This window comes from Homo sapiens, chromosome 16 (genome assembly GCF_000001405.40).
Source record: "Homo sapiens chromosome 16, GRCh38.p14 Primary Assembly".
NCBI lineage: Eukaryota > Metazoa > Chordata > Mammalia > Primates > Hominidae > Homo > Homo sapiens.
Genome location: NC_000016.10, coordinates 11,866,488 through 11,880,103, shown reverse-complemented (window position 1 = coordinate 11,880,103; position 13,616 = coordinate 11,866,488). Strand labels below are relative to the sequence as shown.

The 13,616-nt window shown below is 39.7% G+C and overlaps 1 protein-coding gene across 6 annotated transcripts in view; it reads left to right on the top strand.

Moving 5' to 3' along the window:
• GSPT1 (G1 to S phase transition 1) overlaps window positions 1-11,976 on the top strand; it is a 48,527-nt gene extending 36,551 nt beyond the window's left edge. For all 6 annotated transcript variants that reach the window (NM_001130007.2, NM_001130006.2, NM_002094.4 and 3 more), the window contains exons 12-15: window positions 2,524-2,697; window positions 3,929-4,018; window positions 4,175-4,343; window positions 6,933-11,976. In NM_001130007.2, coding sequence (NP_001123479.1) covers window positions 2,524-2,697; window positions 3,929-4,018; window positions 4,175-4,343; window positions 6,933-6,985 — 486 coding nt within the window. In that variant the 3' untranslated portion in view covers window positions 6,986-11,976. The remainder of the gene's footprint in view (window positions 1-2,523; window positions 2,698-3,928; window positions 4,019-4,174; window positions 4,344-6,932) is intronic.
• Window positions 11,977-13,616: the final 1,640 nt, after the last annotated feature.

Sequence of the window (13,616 nt, the reverse complement as noted above, 5' to 3'; positions counted from 1 at the left end):
AAAAAGACAAATACCGTATGATTCTACTTAAATGAGGTACCTGGAATAGTCACATTTGTCACCTGAAAGTAGGATGGTGGTTGCCAGGGTTCGGGTGAACGGGGAGTTTCAGTTTTGCAAGATAACAAGATTTCAGAGTTCTGAATATTGGTTGTACAATATTTTAAATGTATTTAATTTAGGTGTACTATTGAAATGTACACCTAAAATGGTTATGATGGTAAATTTTGTTACATGTATTTTACCACAGTAAGTAATTAATGGGTTAAATTAAAAATTGGTTATTTTTTACTTTGATATTTTATGAAACTGTTCTGAGATACAGATTGTTTTTTGTTTTTTGTTTTGTTTTTTTTTTTTTTTTTGAGACGGAGTCTCGCTCTGTAGCCCAGGCTGGAGTGCAGTGGTGTGATCTCGGCTCACTGCGACCTCCACCTCCCAGGTCCCGGTTCAAGCAATGCTCCTGCCTCAGCCTCCCAAGTAGCTGGGATTACAGGAACGTGCCACCATGCCCAGCTCATTTTTGTATTTTTAATGGAGACAGGATTTCACCGTGTTGGCCAGGCTGGTCTTGAACTTCTGACCTCGTGATCCACCTGCCTTGGCCTCCCAAAGTGCTGGGGTTACAGGCGTGAGCCACTGCGCCCAGCCGATACAGATTGTTTTTTAGGTGAGTGACTTCTAAACTCTTGTTTCTTTCTTTTTTTTTTGAGACGGAGTCTCCTTCTGTGGCCCAGGCTGGAGTACAGTGGCGCCATCTCAGCTCACTGCAACCTCCACCTCCAGGGTTCAAGCAGTTCTCTGCCTCAGCCTCCCGAGTAGCTGGGATTACAGGTGCCTGCCACCACGCCTGGCTAATTTTTGTATTTTTAGTCGAGACAGGGTTTCACCATCTTGGCTAGGCTGGCCTTGAACTCCTGACCTTGTGATCCACCCACCTTGGCCTCCCAAAGTGCTGGGATTACAGGTGTGAGCCACTGTGCCCGGCCTTTTTTTTATTATTATTATTATTATTTTTTATTTTTTGGAGATGGAGTTTCGCTCTTATTGCCCAGGCTGGAGTATAGTGGCACGATCTCGGCTCACTGCATCCTCTGCCTCCTGGGTTCAAGCGATTCTCCTGCCCAAGCCTCCTGAGTAGCTGGGATTACAGGTGCCTGCCACCACGCCAAGCTAATTGTTTTTTTTCTTTTGTATTTTTAGTAGAGACAGGGTTTCACCATGTTGGCCAGGCTGGTCTCAAACTCCTGATCTCAGGTGATCACCCGCCTCGGCCTCCCAAAATGCTGAGGCGTGAGCCACTGCACCTGGCCTGCATAGCATTATTGATGTAGTAAATGTCACTGATGGTAAATTTCCCGTGTATCTCCTCTCAGGTCACTTGTTCTTTTGCTTCACCTTGCTGCCACAGCCAGCACTGGCAGTACTGAGGAGCAATACTGGCATCAGAACTGGAGGCTCCATAACTATTTTATTTTTACATTAAAAACTTTTTTTTTTTTTTTTTTTAAAGACAGGGTCTCGCTGTGTCACTCAGGCTACAGTGCGGTAGTGTGATCATAGCTCACTGCAGCCTTAAAACACCTGGGCTCAAGCAGTCCTCATGCCTCAGCCTTCCAAGTAGCGGGGCTAAAGGCATGTGGACTACCCAGCTCCGTGGACTATTTTGTTAGAAACAAAGAGTTTAGGCCGGGCACAGTGGCTCACGCCTGTAATCTGAGCACTTTGGGAGGCCAAGGTGGGTGGATCACCTGAGGTCAGGAGTTTGAGACCAGCCTGGCCAACATGGTGAAACCTCGTCTCTACTAAAAATACAAAAAATTAGCCAGGCATGGTGGTGGGTGCCTGTAATCCCAGCTACTTGGGAGGCTGAGGCAGGAGAATGGCTTGAACCCAGGAGGCAGAGGTTGCAGTGAGCCAAGATCGCACCACTGCACTCCAGCCTGGGCAACAAGAGCAAAACTCTGTCTCAAAATAAAAAAATAACAATGCTATGCAGCCATCATCACTATCTAATTCCAGACCATTTCATTACACCAAAAGGAAATGATGTATTCATTAAATAGTTGATAGACTTTTAAAGCTTAGTTCAATAATTTTTAAGTAGTGCATAATTCCGATATTTGGAGATTGATAGGTAATAGAAGACAGGTTTATTAAATCCTTCATAGAATTCCATAATAATAAAAATTATATCCATAAAACTGAAATCCAAATATTAAATTGTGTTTTCGATTTTGAAAAGGTAAAAAAAGGCAAATGCTAGTGTATACAGTGTTCTAGTTGGAAATGATTAGAATGTGATATTTAAAAGGTGACACGTTAATACTTTAATTGGCAGTTATACTTCTAGGATATGATTTTTGCTGATCATATCTAGGCTAAGATTTTATGTCATACAAACATAAGTGTTTACAGTCAAATCTTGCAACTCTTTATTGAGCAGACAGACATTCAGATCATTTTATGTTGCGTAATGCAGTGAATGTGTCAGAAAACCTCCAGTCTTGTTTTCTTTTAAAGCACAACGTGGAAGTTCTTGGAATACTTTCCGATGATGTAGAGACTGATACCGTAGCCCCAGGTGAAAACCTCAAAATCAGACTGAAAGGAATTGAAGAAGAGGAGATTCTTCCAGGGTTTATACTTTGTGATCCTAATAATCTTTGTCATTCTGGACGCACATTTGATGCCCAGGTAAACAAATTATTGTTGTTGTCATAGTGGGTTTTAATGTCTAAATGAAATTAGAATATCAGTGCCTTTTGTCCTGATTATTTGTGACATGCCAGTTAACCCATCTTAGTGTAGAGAAGGGGAATGGAAATATTATAAGCCACTTATATATCATAACCACAATAGGCACCTCATACAAGGTCTTCAAGCTGGTACAAGTGCTTACTGGATAAGGAGTATTCTTTGTAAGTTCCTTTTTATGTTTGATCTCCTGATGATACATTCTACAGTATCTAATATTCACTTTGACCAGAGCACAGTTACTGTGGAAGTCATGGTTTATGTGCTCATTGACAGCACATAGCTTTCCAGACAAGAAATCACACAGGTTTCCCTGTTATTAACAATCTAACCTCCCTGGGAGAATGACAGAGTAAGTGACTGGTGTGAATAACAGAATTTTTTAAAGTTCTTTTCTAAGGTATGACAACTAATCAAGTTAGATTTTGATGCCAGATGTAAGGTTGTTTACTTTACTGGACCTTGGATATTGAGAAATGGATAAAGCTGGATAAGTTTACATCTAGGTAGCTTCTGAGCGGTAAAAATTAGCTTAGTTCCTTGGGGAATATAAGGAAAGTCTTCCCAGATAAGAAAGTTGGCCTGCTGTCTTTTGTTTTGTTTGGAGATGGGGTCTTGCTCTGTCACCCAGGCTGGAGTGCAGTGGCGCGATCTTGGCTCACTGCAACCTCCACCTCCGGGATTCAAGCGATTGTCCTGCCTCAGCCTCCTGAGTAGCTGGGATTTAGGCGCCCACCACCACGCCTGGCTGATTGTTTTGTATTTTTAGTAGAGACAGGGTTTCACCATGTTGTCCAGGCTGGTCCTGAACTCCTGGCCTCAGGTGATCCCCCCGGCCCCCCTGCCGCCTCGGCCTCCCAAAGTGCTGAGATTACAGGCGTGAACCACTGCGCCCAGCCAGCCTGCCGTATTTTGAAAGTTGACCAGGGACTTGCCAAGAAGATAAATACAGGATAAGATACTGAAATTCATGCTTTGAGTTCAAGCAGCCTGACCCATCCTGTGAACAAAATTAGTAAGACAAACCTATCACCTCTAACACAAAAATCACTTAAGTTGATGTCCTAGTGAGATGGTAACACTAATTCTTGGGATTTATATGGCGCTTGAGAACATTGAATTCTTATTTACCCTAAGGCTAAAGATAAGAATGTGTGTGTTTGTTTGACAGATAGTGATTATAGAGCACAAATCCATCATCTGCCCAGGCTATAATGCGGTGCTGCATATTCATACCTGTATTGAGGAGGTGGAAATAACAGTGAGTTTAAGATAATTGGTTTATTTCTGTTTTAATACTGTTTTATCTTCATAATTTCTAATCAGCAACAGTGATGCACTTTTATTTCTACACCTGTTCTTAAAGATTATTTTATTTGGCATTATTCTGATTTTCTCATACTCTTTTCTTGGTTAGGCCTTAATCTGCTTGGTAGACAAAAAATCAGGAGAAAAAAGTAAGACCCGACCCCGTTTTGTCAAACAAGATCAAGTATGCATTGCTCGCTTAAGGACAGCAGGAACCATCTGCCTTGAGACCTTTAAAGACTTCCCTCAGATGGGTCGTTTCACCTTAAGAGATGAGGGTAAGAGCTTTTAAACTGACGTCTAGTAGTATATCCAGGATACCTAGCTTTGGTCATCTTCATCATCTCAGTACAGTACACATTGCAACAGGTTCACAGAAAACTTCGATTCACATTCTTATTCGTATGAGTGTTTTATGAGTTGAATGTATTGAACAGAATTGACCACGTGCTTTAGTAGTAATGCCAAATCTAGTAATGCTCTACGTGAAGAATCTTAATTTTGATGTTTTGTGAGTAGTGGATTTGGAGGGCTATTTTGTTTACTAAGATATTTCTATGATGTAATCCTTTGTAATATGTCTAGCGATTAAAAGGAACATAGAGATTGATTTTTTTTTTTACACCTAATTTTTCAGAGGTCTAATCTTTGTGACCTTTTGTGTGCATCCATTTCTGCCTACCTCTGGGTGACGCAGAACAACTAACATTCCCATCTTGGGGTCATGAAGTTCTTTGGCATAAAAACAAAATGATTGTTATGAAACGTTTCCTTATGAGCTTTTAATATTCCTGTCCTTTTCCTTTCCCTTTCCCTTTCCCTTTCCTCTTCCCTTTCCTTTCCTTTTTTTGAGATGGAGTCTCGATCTGTCACCCAGGCTGGAGTGCAGTGGCACCATCTTGGCTCACTGCAAGCTCCACCTCCCAGGTTCACGCCATTCTCCTGCCTCAGCCTCCCGAGTAGCTGGGACTATAGGTGCTGCCACCATGCCTGGCTAATTTTTTGTATTTTTGTAGAGACGGGGTTTCACCACGTTAGCCAGGATGGTCTTGATCTCCTGACCTCGTGATCCGCCCGCCTTGGCCTCCCAAAGTGCTGGGATTACAGGCGTGAGCCACCGTGCCCGGCCCAGCTGTTAATATTTCTAACTTAGATAACCATTTTAAGACTATAGAAGACTTTACATAAAACTTTATAGTTCCATTGAAATACAGAATAGTCATTTCACATGTTCATTCCAATTCCATTTAGCAAAAACTACTTTGTATCTACAAAGTGTCAGGAACTGTGCTAAGCCCTGGTGATGAATACAGTTCCTGAACTTTACATTGGATGAAATTGTATAAAGACAGTGTTTATTTTACTTTAAAGGCCCAGAACTCTTCTGGTTGATAGTAAAACTGGTTATTGGGTTTATCTTATTAATATAACAAAATGATAGTTTTAGTTTACCACTCAGAACCTGATAAAATCAGGAAGACAGAAGAAAAGCAATTAATGTAGCAGGAATTCTTAACCCTAGAATTATTTTTTCCTAAAAGCTAACTTGGCTTTAAAAAAAAAAAAAAAAAAAAAAAAAAAAAAGCTAACTTGGCTTTTAGGTTTTCCACAAGACCCAATGGGTTTTGTATCCTTTCAGTCCACAGGATTACTACCAGAAGGACGTGTTCACTGCACTGTAGTCAGTGGTGATTGCTGTGCCTTTTCACAGTTACTTAAGGATAGGTTTTGGGATTTTTTTTTTTAGCAGCTTTATTGAGATACAATTTCCATAATATGAAATTGACCTGTTTTAAGTATGTAATTCAATGAATTTTAGTATGTTTACAGAATTGTACAACCATCACCATATACTAATATTAGAACATTTAGAACACCTAAAAAGAAACCTTACACCTGTTCATAATCACCCCTTATTCCCACCTCCACCCCAGGCAACCATTTTTCAATTTGTCTTTTATAGACACTCCATAAATAGAATTATAAATTATGTGGTCCTTTGTCTAGTTTATTTTACTTAGTGTGATTTTGAGGTTCAACCATGTAACATGTTATTTATTCCTTTGTATCACTGAATAGTACTCCACTGGGTGGATATTCCACAAATACGGATATTCCCTTTTCTTATTTTTAATCCAAAGAGGTTTTTTGGCCCAGTGTGGTGGCTCACCCCTGTAATCCCAGCACTTTGGGAGGCCGAGGCAGGCGGATCACCTGAGGCCAAGAGTTCAAGACCAGCCTGGCCAACATGGTGAAACCCTGCCTCTACTAAAAATATAAAAATTAGAATGGGCATGGTGGCAAGCACCTATACTCCCAGCTACTCAGGAGGCTGAGGCAGGAGAATCACTTGAACCCAGAAGGAGGAGGTTGCAGTCAGCTGAAGTCGCACCACTGCACTCCAGCCTGGGTGACAGAGTAAGACTCTGTCTTTATGCAGTGGCTCATGCCTGTAATCCCAGCACTTTGGGAGGCTGAGGCGGGTGGATCACCTGAGGTCAGGAGTTCAAGACCAGCCTGGCCAACATGGTGAAATCCCGTCTCAACTAAAAATACAAAAATTAGCTGGGCGTGGTGGCAGGCATCTGTATCTCAGCTACTGGGGAGGATGAGGCAGGAGAATTGTTTGGGGGGTACGGGGGGAGATAGGTTTTTGATACAGGGAACCATCTCTTTACCAGCCCCCCCAAATAAGACCCTCTTATTAAGACTACCTAAATAGAAGTATCATGGGTTTGGCAGTAAAGCTAGTTAATTAGTAACTTACATTGTAAAAAATATTTTTGTGATTTAAAATAATAAGTTTTAATATCTTATATAGACTTGCTGTTAACTACTGAAAGATTTTTTTAAAATTTCATTTCTAGGTAAGACCATTGCAATTGGAAAAGTTCTGAAACTGGTTCCAGAGAAAGACTAAGCATTTTCTTGATGACCCTGCACAATACTGTGAGGAAAATTGACTGCAGAAGCCTACTTCACACCGCCTTCTCTTATTTTCTGCCCATTGATAAACCTCTCCCCATATTTTGCAAAGAGGAAATTCACAGCAAAAGTCCACATTATGTCAGCTTTCTCATATTGAGAGCTCTGCTATGCCACTGTTGAATTTTTCCCAAGATTCCTGTCCCTAGCCCTCACTTCAAACTCTGCTTCCTTGGACAGATTTGGCAATAGCTTTGTAAGTGATGTGGACATAATTGCCTACAATAATGAAAACCTACAGGAATTTTTTTATTTTTCATTTTCCCCTTAGGCATATTTAGTATTTTTCCCCCAGGCAGATCATTCTGAGTGTGCGAGTGTGTGTGCACATGTTACAAAGGCAACTACCATGTTAATAAAATATTCAATTTGAAATCCTTTTCGGTATTTGAATTGCTTTTGAATAATGTTTTTTATCTGGATGTAACATTGTTGCATTAGCTTTTTAACTTTCCCAAGTAATTGAATACATTTTATTACTTGGACTTTTATAAACTCTTTCCCTACCCACTATAAATGAGACATTCACAGCGTTCAAGTTTGTATTAAAGGAAAGGATTAGTTTGACCCCTTCTTTTGATGGTTAATGCATACATGCAGTTAAATCCCTTTATGCAAATGTGACACTGCTTTACTAGGTCTTTTAGTTATTTATTTATTTTTTTTTTTTTTGCCAATTTATATTGTAACATGATTTCTTGAACACAGTAAGTTGTTTTAAAATAAAAGAACAGCATACTGTAGTTTTTATAAGTAAAGCGTAATGAAATTGTACCCCTAGAGAAAATTCCATTAACTTGTTAAATTAGTGGAATTAACAACAAATAAAGCATGTTTGAGACCTGGCAAAAATTCCTCTGGTAGTATTTATAAATAGAGCTGCATGCCTCTAGTATGAAAACCGTATCAGTTGCAAGTGCCACTTCTACAAGTTACTCAGTTTACTCTTTGTATCAGTAACTTTAAAGGTTGGATGATCCTTGCTGGTTAAAGCTAAATCTCAACCTAGCAACTAAATGAAAATATTTAGAATCATCAGAATCTGAACAGACTAAAATTATCAGCGATAAGCAGAATCAAGCAGGGTATAAGTTTTATCTCAATTATTTGAAATTGACTGAGTTTTCTTAAGTGTAAAGCTGAAATTTGCTAACCATGTTTTTGATGAACCACAGTGCAGCATTGTGTGGGTTTTAGATTGAATGACTCTCTGCTATAATTATCATGACTTTGAAATTTTTCATGAGAATAAATGAGGAATGGAGGCAATTTGTGGGTTTATCCAAAGCCCCCTTGATGTTGAGTGTTGCCATTGATCAAAGATAGCCTCTTTTAGATTGTGATTTCTCTCTAAATAAGATACTTTGTATATTTAATGACAAGTCTCTTCCCTATAATTTTGCTCCTCAGAAAAGAAAAGCCTAGACAGACTGTATTTCCAGTCACAGAACATAAAACTTAATCTAATGGGTGTTTTGTTTTGTTTTGAGACAGAGGCTCACTCTGTCACCTAGGCTGGAGTGCAGTGGCTCGATCTCAGCTCACTGCAGCCTCCACCTCCCGGATTCAAGCAATTTCCTGCCTCAGCCTCTTGAGTAGCTGGGATTACAGGAGCCCTCCACGAGGCCCAGTTAATTTTTGTATCTTTAGTGGAGACGAGGTTTCCCCCTATTGGTCAGGCTGGTCTCAAACTTCTGACCTCAAGTGATCCACTCGCCTCAGCCTCTCAAAAGTGCTGGGATTACAGGCATGAGGCGCCGCACTTGGCCTAGTGTTTTCTTAACTGTGAAATTCCCATTCATTTCTTGAATGAGGCTACATCTTATGGACAGAGCAAAGTTATTGTCCTACAGATTCTTAAAACTATAATTATGGCTATTGCATGAAATTTAAATAGATTTTATTATGTCTGCAAATCTCTGGGCTTTTATTTTTCTGGAAAATATAGGAGCTTTAATCAAAACATAATAGTTCTTTTTGTAATTCCATGTTAATAAAAACAAATACTAGCAATTGCTTGAATTTTAATGAATATTTAAAAGTTCAAGAGCCACGGAAATCACTTCCAGAGATAAGAGTTCCCTTTCTAAATAGAACACATTTTTAAAAAATAAGTTATGTTTGCTACTAAAACATTTACACTGTTAGACTATTATGTGCATGTTGCCAAGACTCTTAAGTAACTTGGATATCAACTGTGAAGGGCCTACCTCTAAAAAGTAACAGGTCATACAAATACAAATGTAACTGTAAAAATTCCACTGGATTCTTGCATATTTGCAAGATTAGATTATTCAAAAGAAATTTCAGTGCTAAAATTAACCAGCAACATAAGTTCTATGGGCTTTGAAAATTGTTCTCATCTTTTTAAAGTTGATGCATTTTCAATCCTGCTTACACAGGCTGTTCATTTGGATAAGTAAATAAAATGTCTAAGGTGAACTTGGCATTATGTGGAGATGTTGGACCGTTATAGAGCAATACAAATTCCTATGCTGTCATTCTGTTTTCTGCAAATGCAAACGTGCTTATATGGTCAACAGTGCAAAAATAGGGTAGTTGGCTGCATATTTAGGGTATTACCTAAGCATTTGTTCTCTAACGTTGCTCTACTAGAATGATTTTTTTCTTGCATCTTTTCACATTAATGATGTTCTTTATATAACTTTCATGCGATTATTTAGTTTTTTAAATTAATAAAGTGAATTTAAGAAATATTGAAATAAACATCTAAGTAATTGCCATTTTAAACCCTTGTTTCTTACTGTGGGAGAGGGGGAAATACAGCACTCATTTCTTGTTTTTAATTTGCAGAAGTAAGTGAAAATCTATGTAAAATCAAACCAAAAGAGTTGGACTGAGTGTGTATTGTCTTGAGATTAAGTGACAAATAGTAAAGTGTTACTGAGTAATTAAGCCCATGTATTTTTTTTTTGTGAGTTGAAAATCTTTGAAATATGTGATAACCGAATGTCAAAAGTTCCTAAACTCTAACAGTGCAGGTTGTTCACTGTAACGAGGTAACTCATATTTGCTGGTTACATAAACTACAAGTACTGCTCTCACAATATGGGACTTTGAACTGTGATGTAGTTCAACAGTTGCCGGCATCCTCTCAGCTGATACGCTGCGAATATTTTGGGTTAGACTTGCAGCCAGATGCAGTTTTGCAACCCAAGAAAAAAGTTGAACCTATGATCAAAAACTGCTCCCAAGATGAACCTGGAAAAAAATCAGCTAAGCTCCCTTGGCGATCTGCAGGAACACTAGTAATGACTGGAATTACTCCGTGATCTTTGATGACTATTACACATAACAGCACTCTAGCACCTTTTCTTACTGGCATGGACTTCCTCATGGACTGCTACTTCATGGATGATAGCTTCATTGCTTTGGGTAGGGATTTAAGGTAGTCAAGGGGAAAATACGCAGTTTTATTACAGGTCTTAACATCAGGCAACTTTCAACTTTAAAACCCTTTGTGAAAAATGTGGTTATAGCACTATAGCTCTGATTTTAGGATGGTTAAATGTTATATTCATTGTTGGCTTACCTTATCAAACTGTGCCATTAATCCTTTCACAGACATAGGTAAGGAAGAGAACAACCAGTGGATTCAGGGGACAATTATCTATCTCCAAATAATAGGCTTTTATTTCTTGCAGCTAACTTTTTCAGTGATTCTAGCAGATGCCATCTAGTACATCCTTGATCTTGTTTCTTTCGTGAGAGATCTCGCCATGGCAGCATCTTGTTAAGTAAGTGTAATTGCACATGCACAAAAGACTTAACTAGCTTTACATTTAGCAGTCAGTTGGTTAGATTAGGTTTCATAGTAAATGAATAGGAATAGAAAGAATAGGAAGTGTTTTTATTTTCCAGTAGTAATTCCGTGGATTCCATTTGACCCAGTTTACTATCAGTTCAGTTCAGGTAGATTTGGTTCAACTTTTGGTGGTTTTTGGCTCTAGGATATTCTTGACTTTAATATCCTAGAACTTACTGAGTCTTCCCTTCAATAAATACACTTCTCACATACCTCTAATCCTATGCTTCCTTGAAACAATAATGCTAGCTGAGTTGTTTACTAAGGATTATTATAAGGGCCTGAAGGTGTGGGAGTGGAGATTAATTAAAACCTTTATGTTCTCCAATATAAGGGAAAAGCAGGTTGGTACTACTTCTGATTAGGCAGAAAACACCAGGATTCCTTAAGTGATCCTTGAAATGGTTATTGTTTTCTGCCTTGTCACATTTGCCACTGTGCCCTTTAAAACGATGTGGAAACCTCAGGTTTGTGGACAGCACAGGTGGAATGACATCTTGTGCTTCCTGAGGCTCCCCTCTACCAGGCACATTAGCTTAGTGCTTCAGATGTCAGCCCAAGTCCTTGTTACCTCCTTTTCCTGCTGCCCAGGGAAGAGTGTGTGTGCTGGAGCTGGAGCGCTTGCACTCTTCAGGTGACTATTCTCACCTCCATTTCCTCCACATGCATTAGGTGAAACTGAGGTCTAAGCCTCCTGCAAGGTCTACATTTTAAGGACTCACACATCAGGCTCTCAGAAATGTACACAGGTATTAGTTCTGTTTGTTCTAAAGGAAATGTGGGTATCTCTCAGGCCAGGACTTAGTGACTAGTTTTCGCTAGACAGCAGGTTAATACCTAGATCTCATTTAAAAAAAAAAAAAAAAAACAGGATTAAAGGGAACTGATCAGGTTTGTTGAGTTTTTTAGCCTAATTCCAAAGCATGGAAGAGTGCTCTAGGTAGGAAAGAAAGCTTTTTCTTACGATTTGTAGCTACCTACTGTGCCTGACTTGGTGCCTGTGTGAGGATTAAGCCCTTAGTCTGCTCTTGCAATTATTCAAATGACAAATTAAATTTGCTTTTGTAATAACAATAAAAGTTGTCATCTTCCCTTTTGAAGGATTTGTCGTTTGTAATTACCTGTGTTGTAACAAGCAAAAACCATGCCCTTTTTTGTACAATCCTTTTATTTTTGTATCAGGTACTGGAACCATCTACCAAAAGGTTTGTTGGATGGATCTAATAAGCTCTGTCACATAAGGGATTCACAAACGTCATCTGCTTGCATATGGCATGCAAGTCTTTTGTATAATGTATACGACAACCTTAGGAAACAAAAATAAGAACCCTATAGGAAGTTAGGGATGCTGAATAATAAATAACTAGATCACAGTTATGTGGTTTTATGTGAACAGTAGAGTTGGGGGAAACGTCAATTATTATTAGAACTATGAACCTCTACATTCAGGATTTTTAATAAAGATCAAGAGACCAAATAGTGCTTGCCCTTTTCATTCAATGTGCAAGGGCAAGAAGAAGTTAATGATAAAGGTAACATACACAGTGGCTACTTGAATGACAGCAGTTCATTCCTGTGTACTAAGTTCCTGTTTGAACTGTCTTTAGGTGAATCGCTTTGAGGTTTTGGCAGTCAGCCTCTAGGTATTTGGCATTAAACCAATCATAGCTTAAAACTTGGGACCAAGCTTGCTATTAAAGTAGGGGTTCAGGCCAGGCACGGTGACTCATGCCTGTAATCCCAGCACTTTGGGAGGCTGAGGCGGGCAGATCACTTGAGGTCAGGAGTTCCAGACCAGCCTGGCCAACGTGGTGAAACCCAGTCTCTGCTAAAAAACACAAAAATTAGCTGGGCGTGGAGGCGTGTGCCTGTAATGCCAGCACTTTTTGGGAGGCCGAGGTGGGTGGATCACGGTGTCAGGAGATCGAGACCATCCTGGCTAACACGGTGAAACCCCGTCTCTACTAAAAATACAAAAAATTAGCCGGGCGTGGCCTGTAGTCCCAGCTACTTGGGAGGCTGAGGCAGGACAATGGCGTGAACCTGGGAGGCGGAGCCTGCAGTGAGCCGAGATTGCGCCACAGCACTCCAGCCTGGGCGACAGAGTGAGACTCCGTCTCAAAAAAAAAAAAAAAAAAAAAAGAGATCGAGACCATCCTGGCCAATATAGTGAAACCCCATCTCTACTAAAAATACAAAAATTAGCTGAGTGTGGTGGCGTGCGCCTGTAATCCCAGCTACTTGGGAGGCTGAGGCAGGAGAATCACTTGAACCCGGGAGGCAGAGGTTGCAGTGAGCTGAGATCGTGCCACTGCACTCCAGCCTGTTAACAGTCTTTAAAAAAAAAAAATGAAATTTGCTAGATGCAGTGGCACAAACCTGTAGTCCCAGCTACTCCTGAGTTGGCAAGATCACCTGAGCCTAGGAGTTGGAGGCTGCAGTGGGTTATGGTTACACGTGTGAATTGCCACTGCACTCTAGCCTGGGCAACATAGTGAGATGCTGTCTTTTTTTTTTTTTTTTTAAGTGAAATTCTTGTTACTGTCAATCTTTCCTTCAAATTGTTTCTGAAGGCTTTGTGCACCCACATTACTTGCAAGAAATATTTTCGTATGTTTTCTGCTAGGAATAAGAGACTGCCTATAACAAGTAAAATTCCTTTAGCTGATGGGTGTACTTTTTGAATTATTTGGAATATGATCCTTCTGTTAAATATTAGGCCAGGCCAGGCACAGTGGCT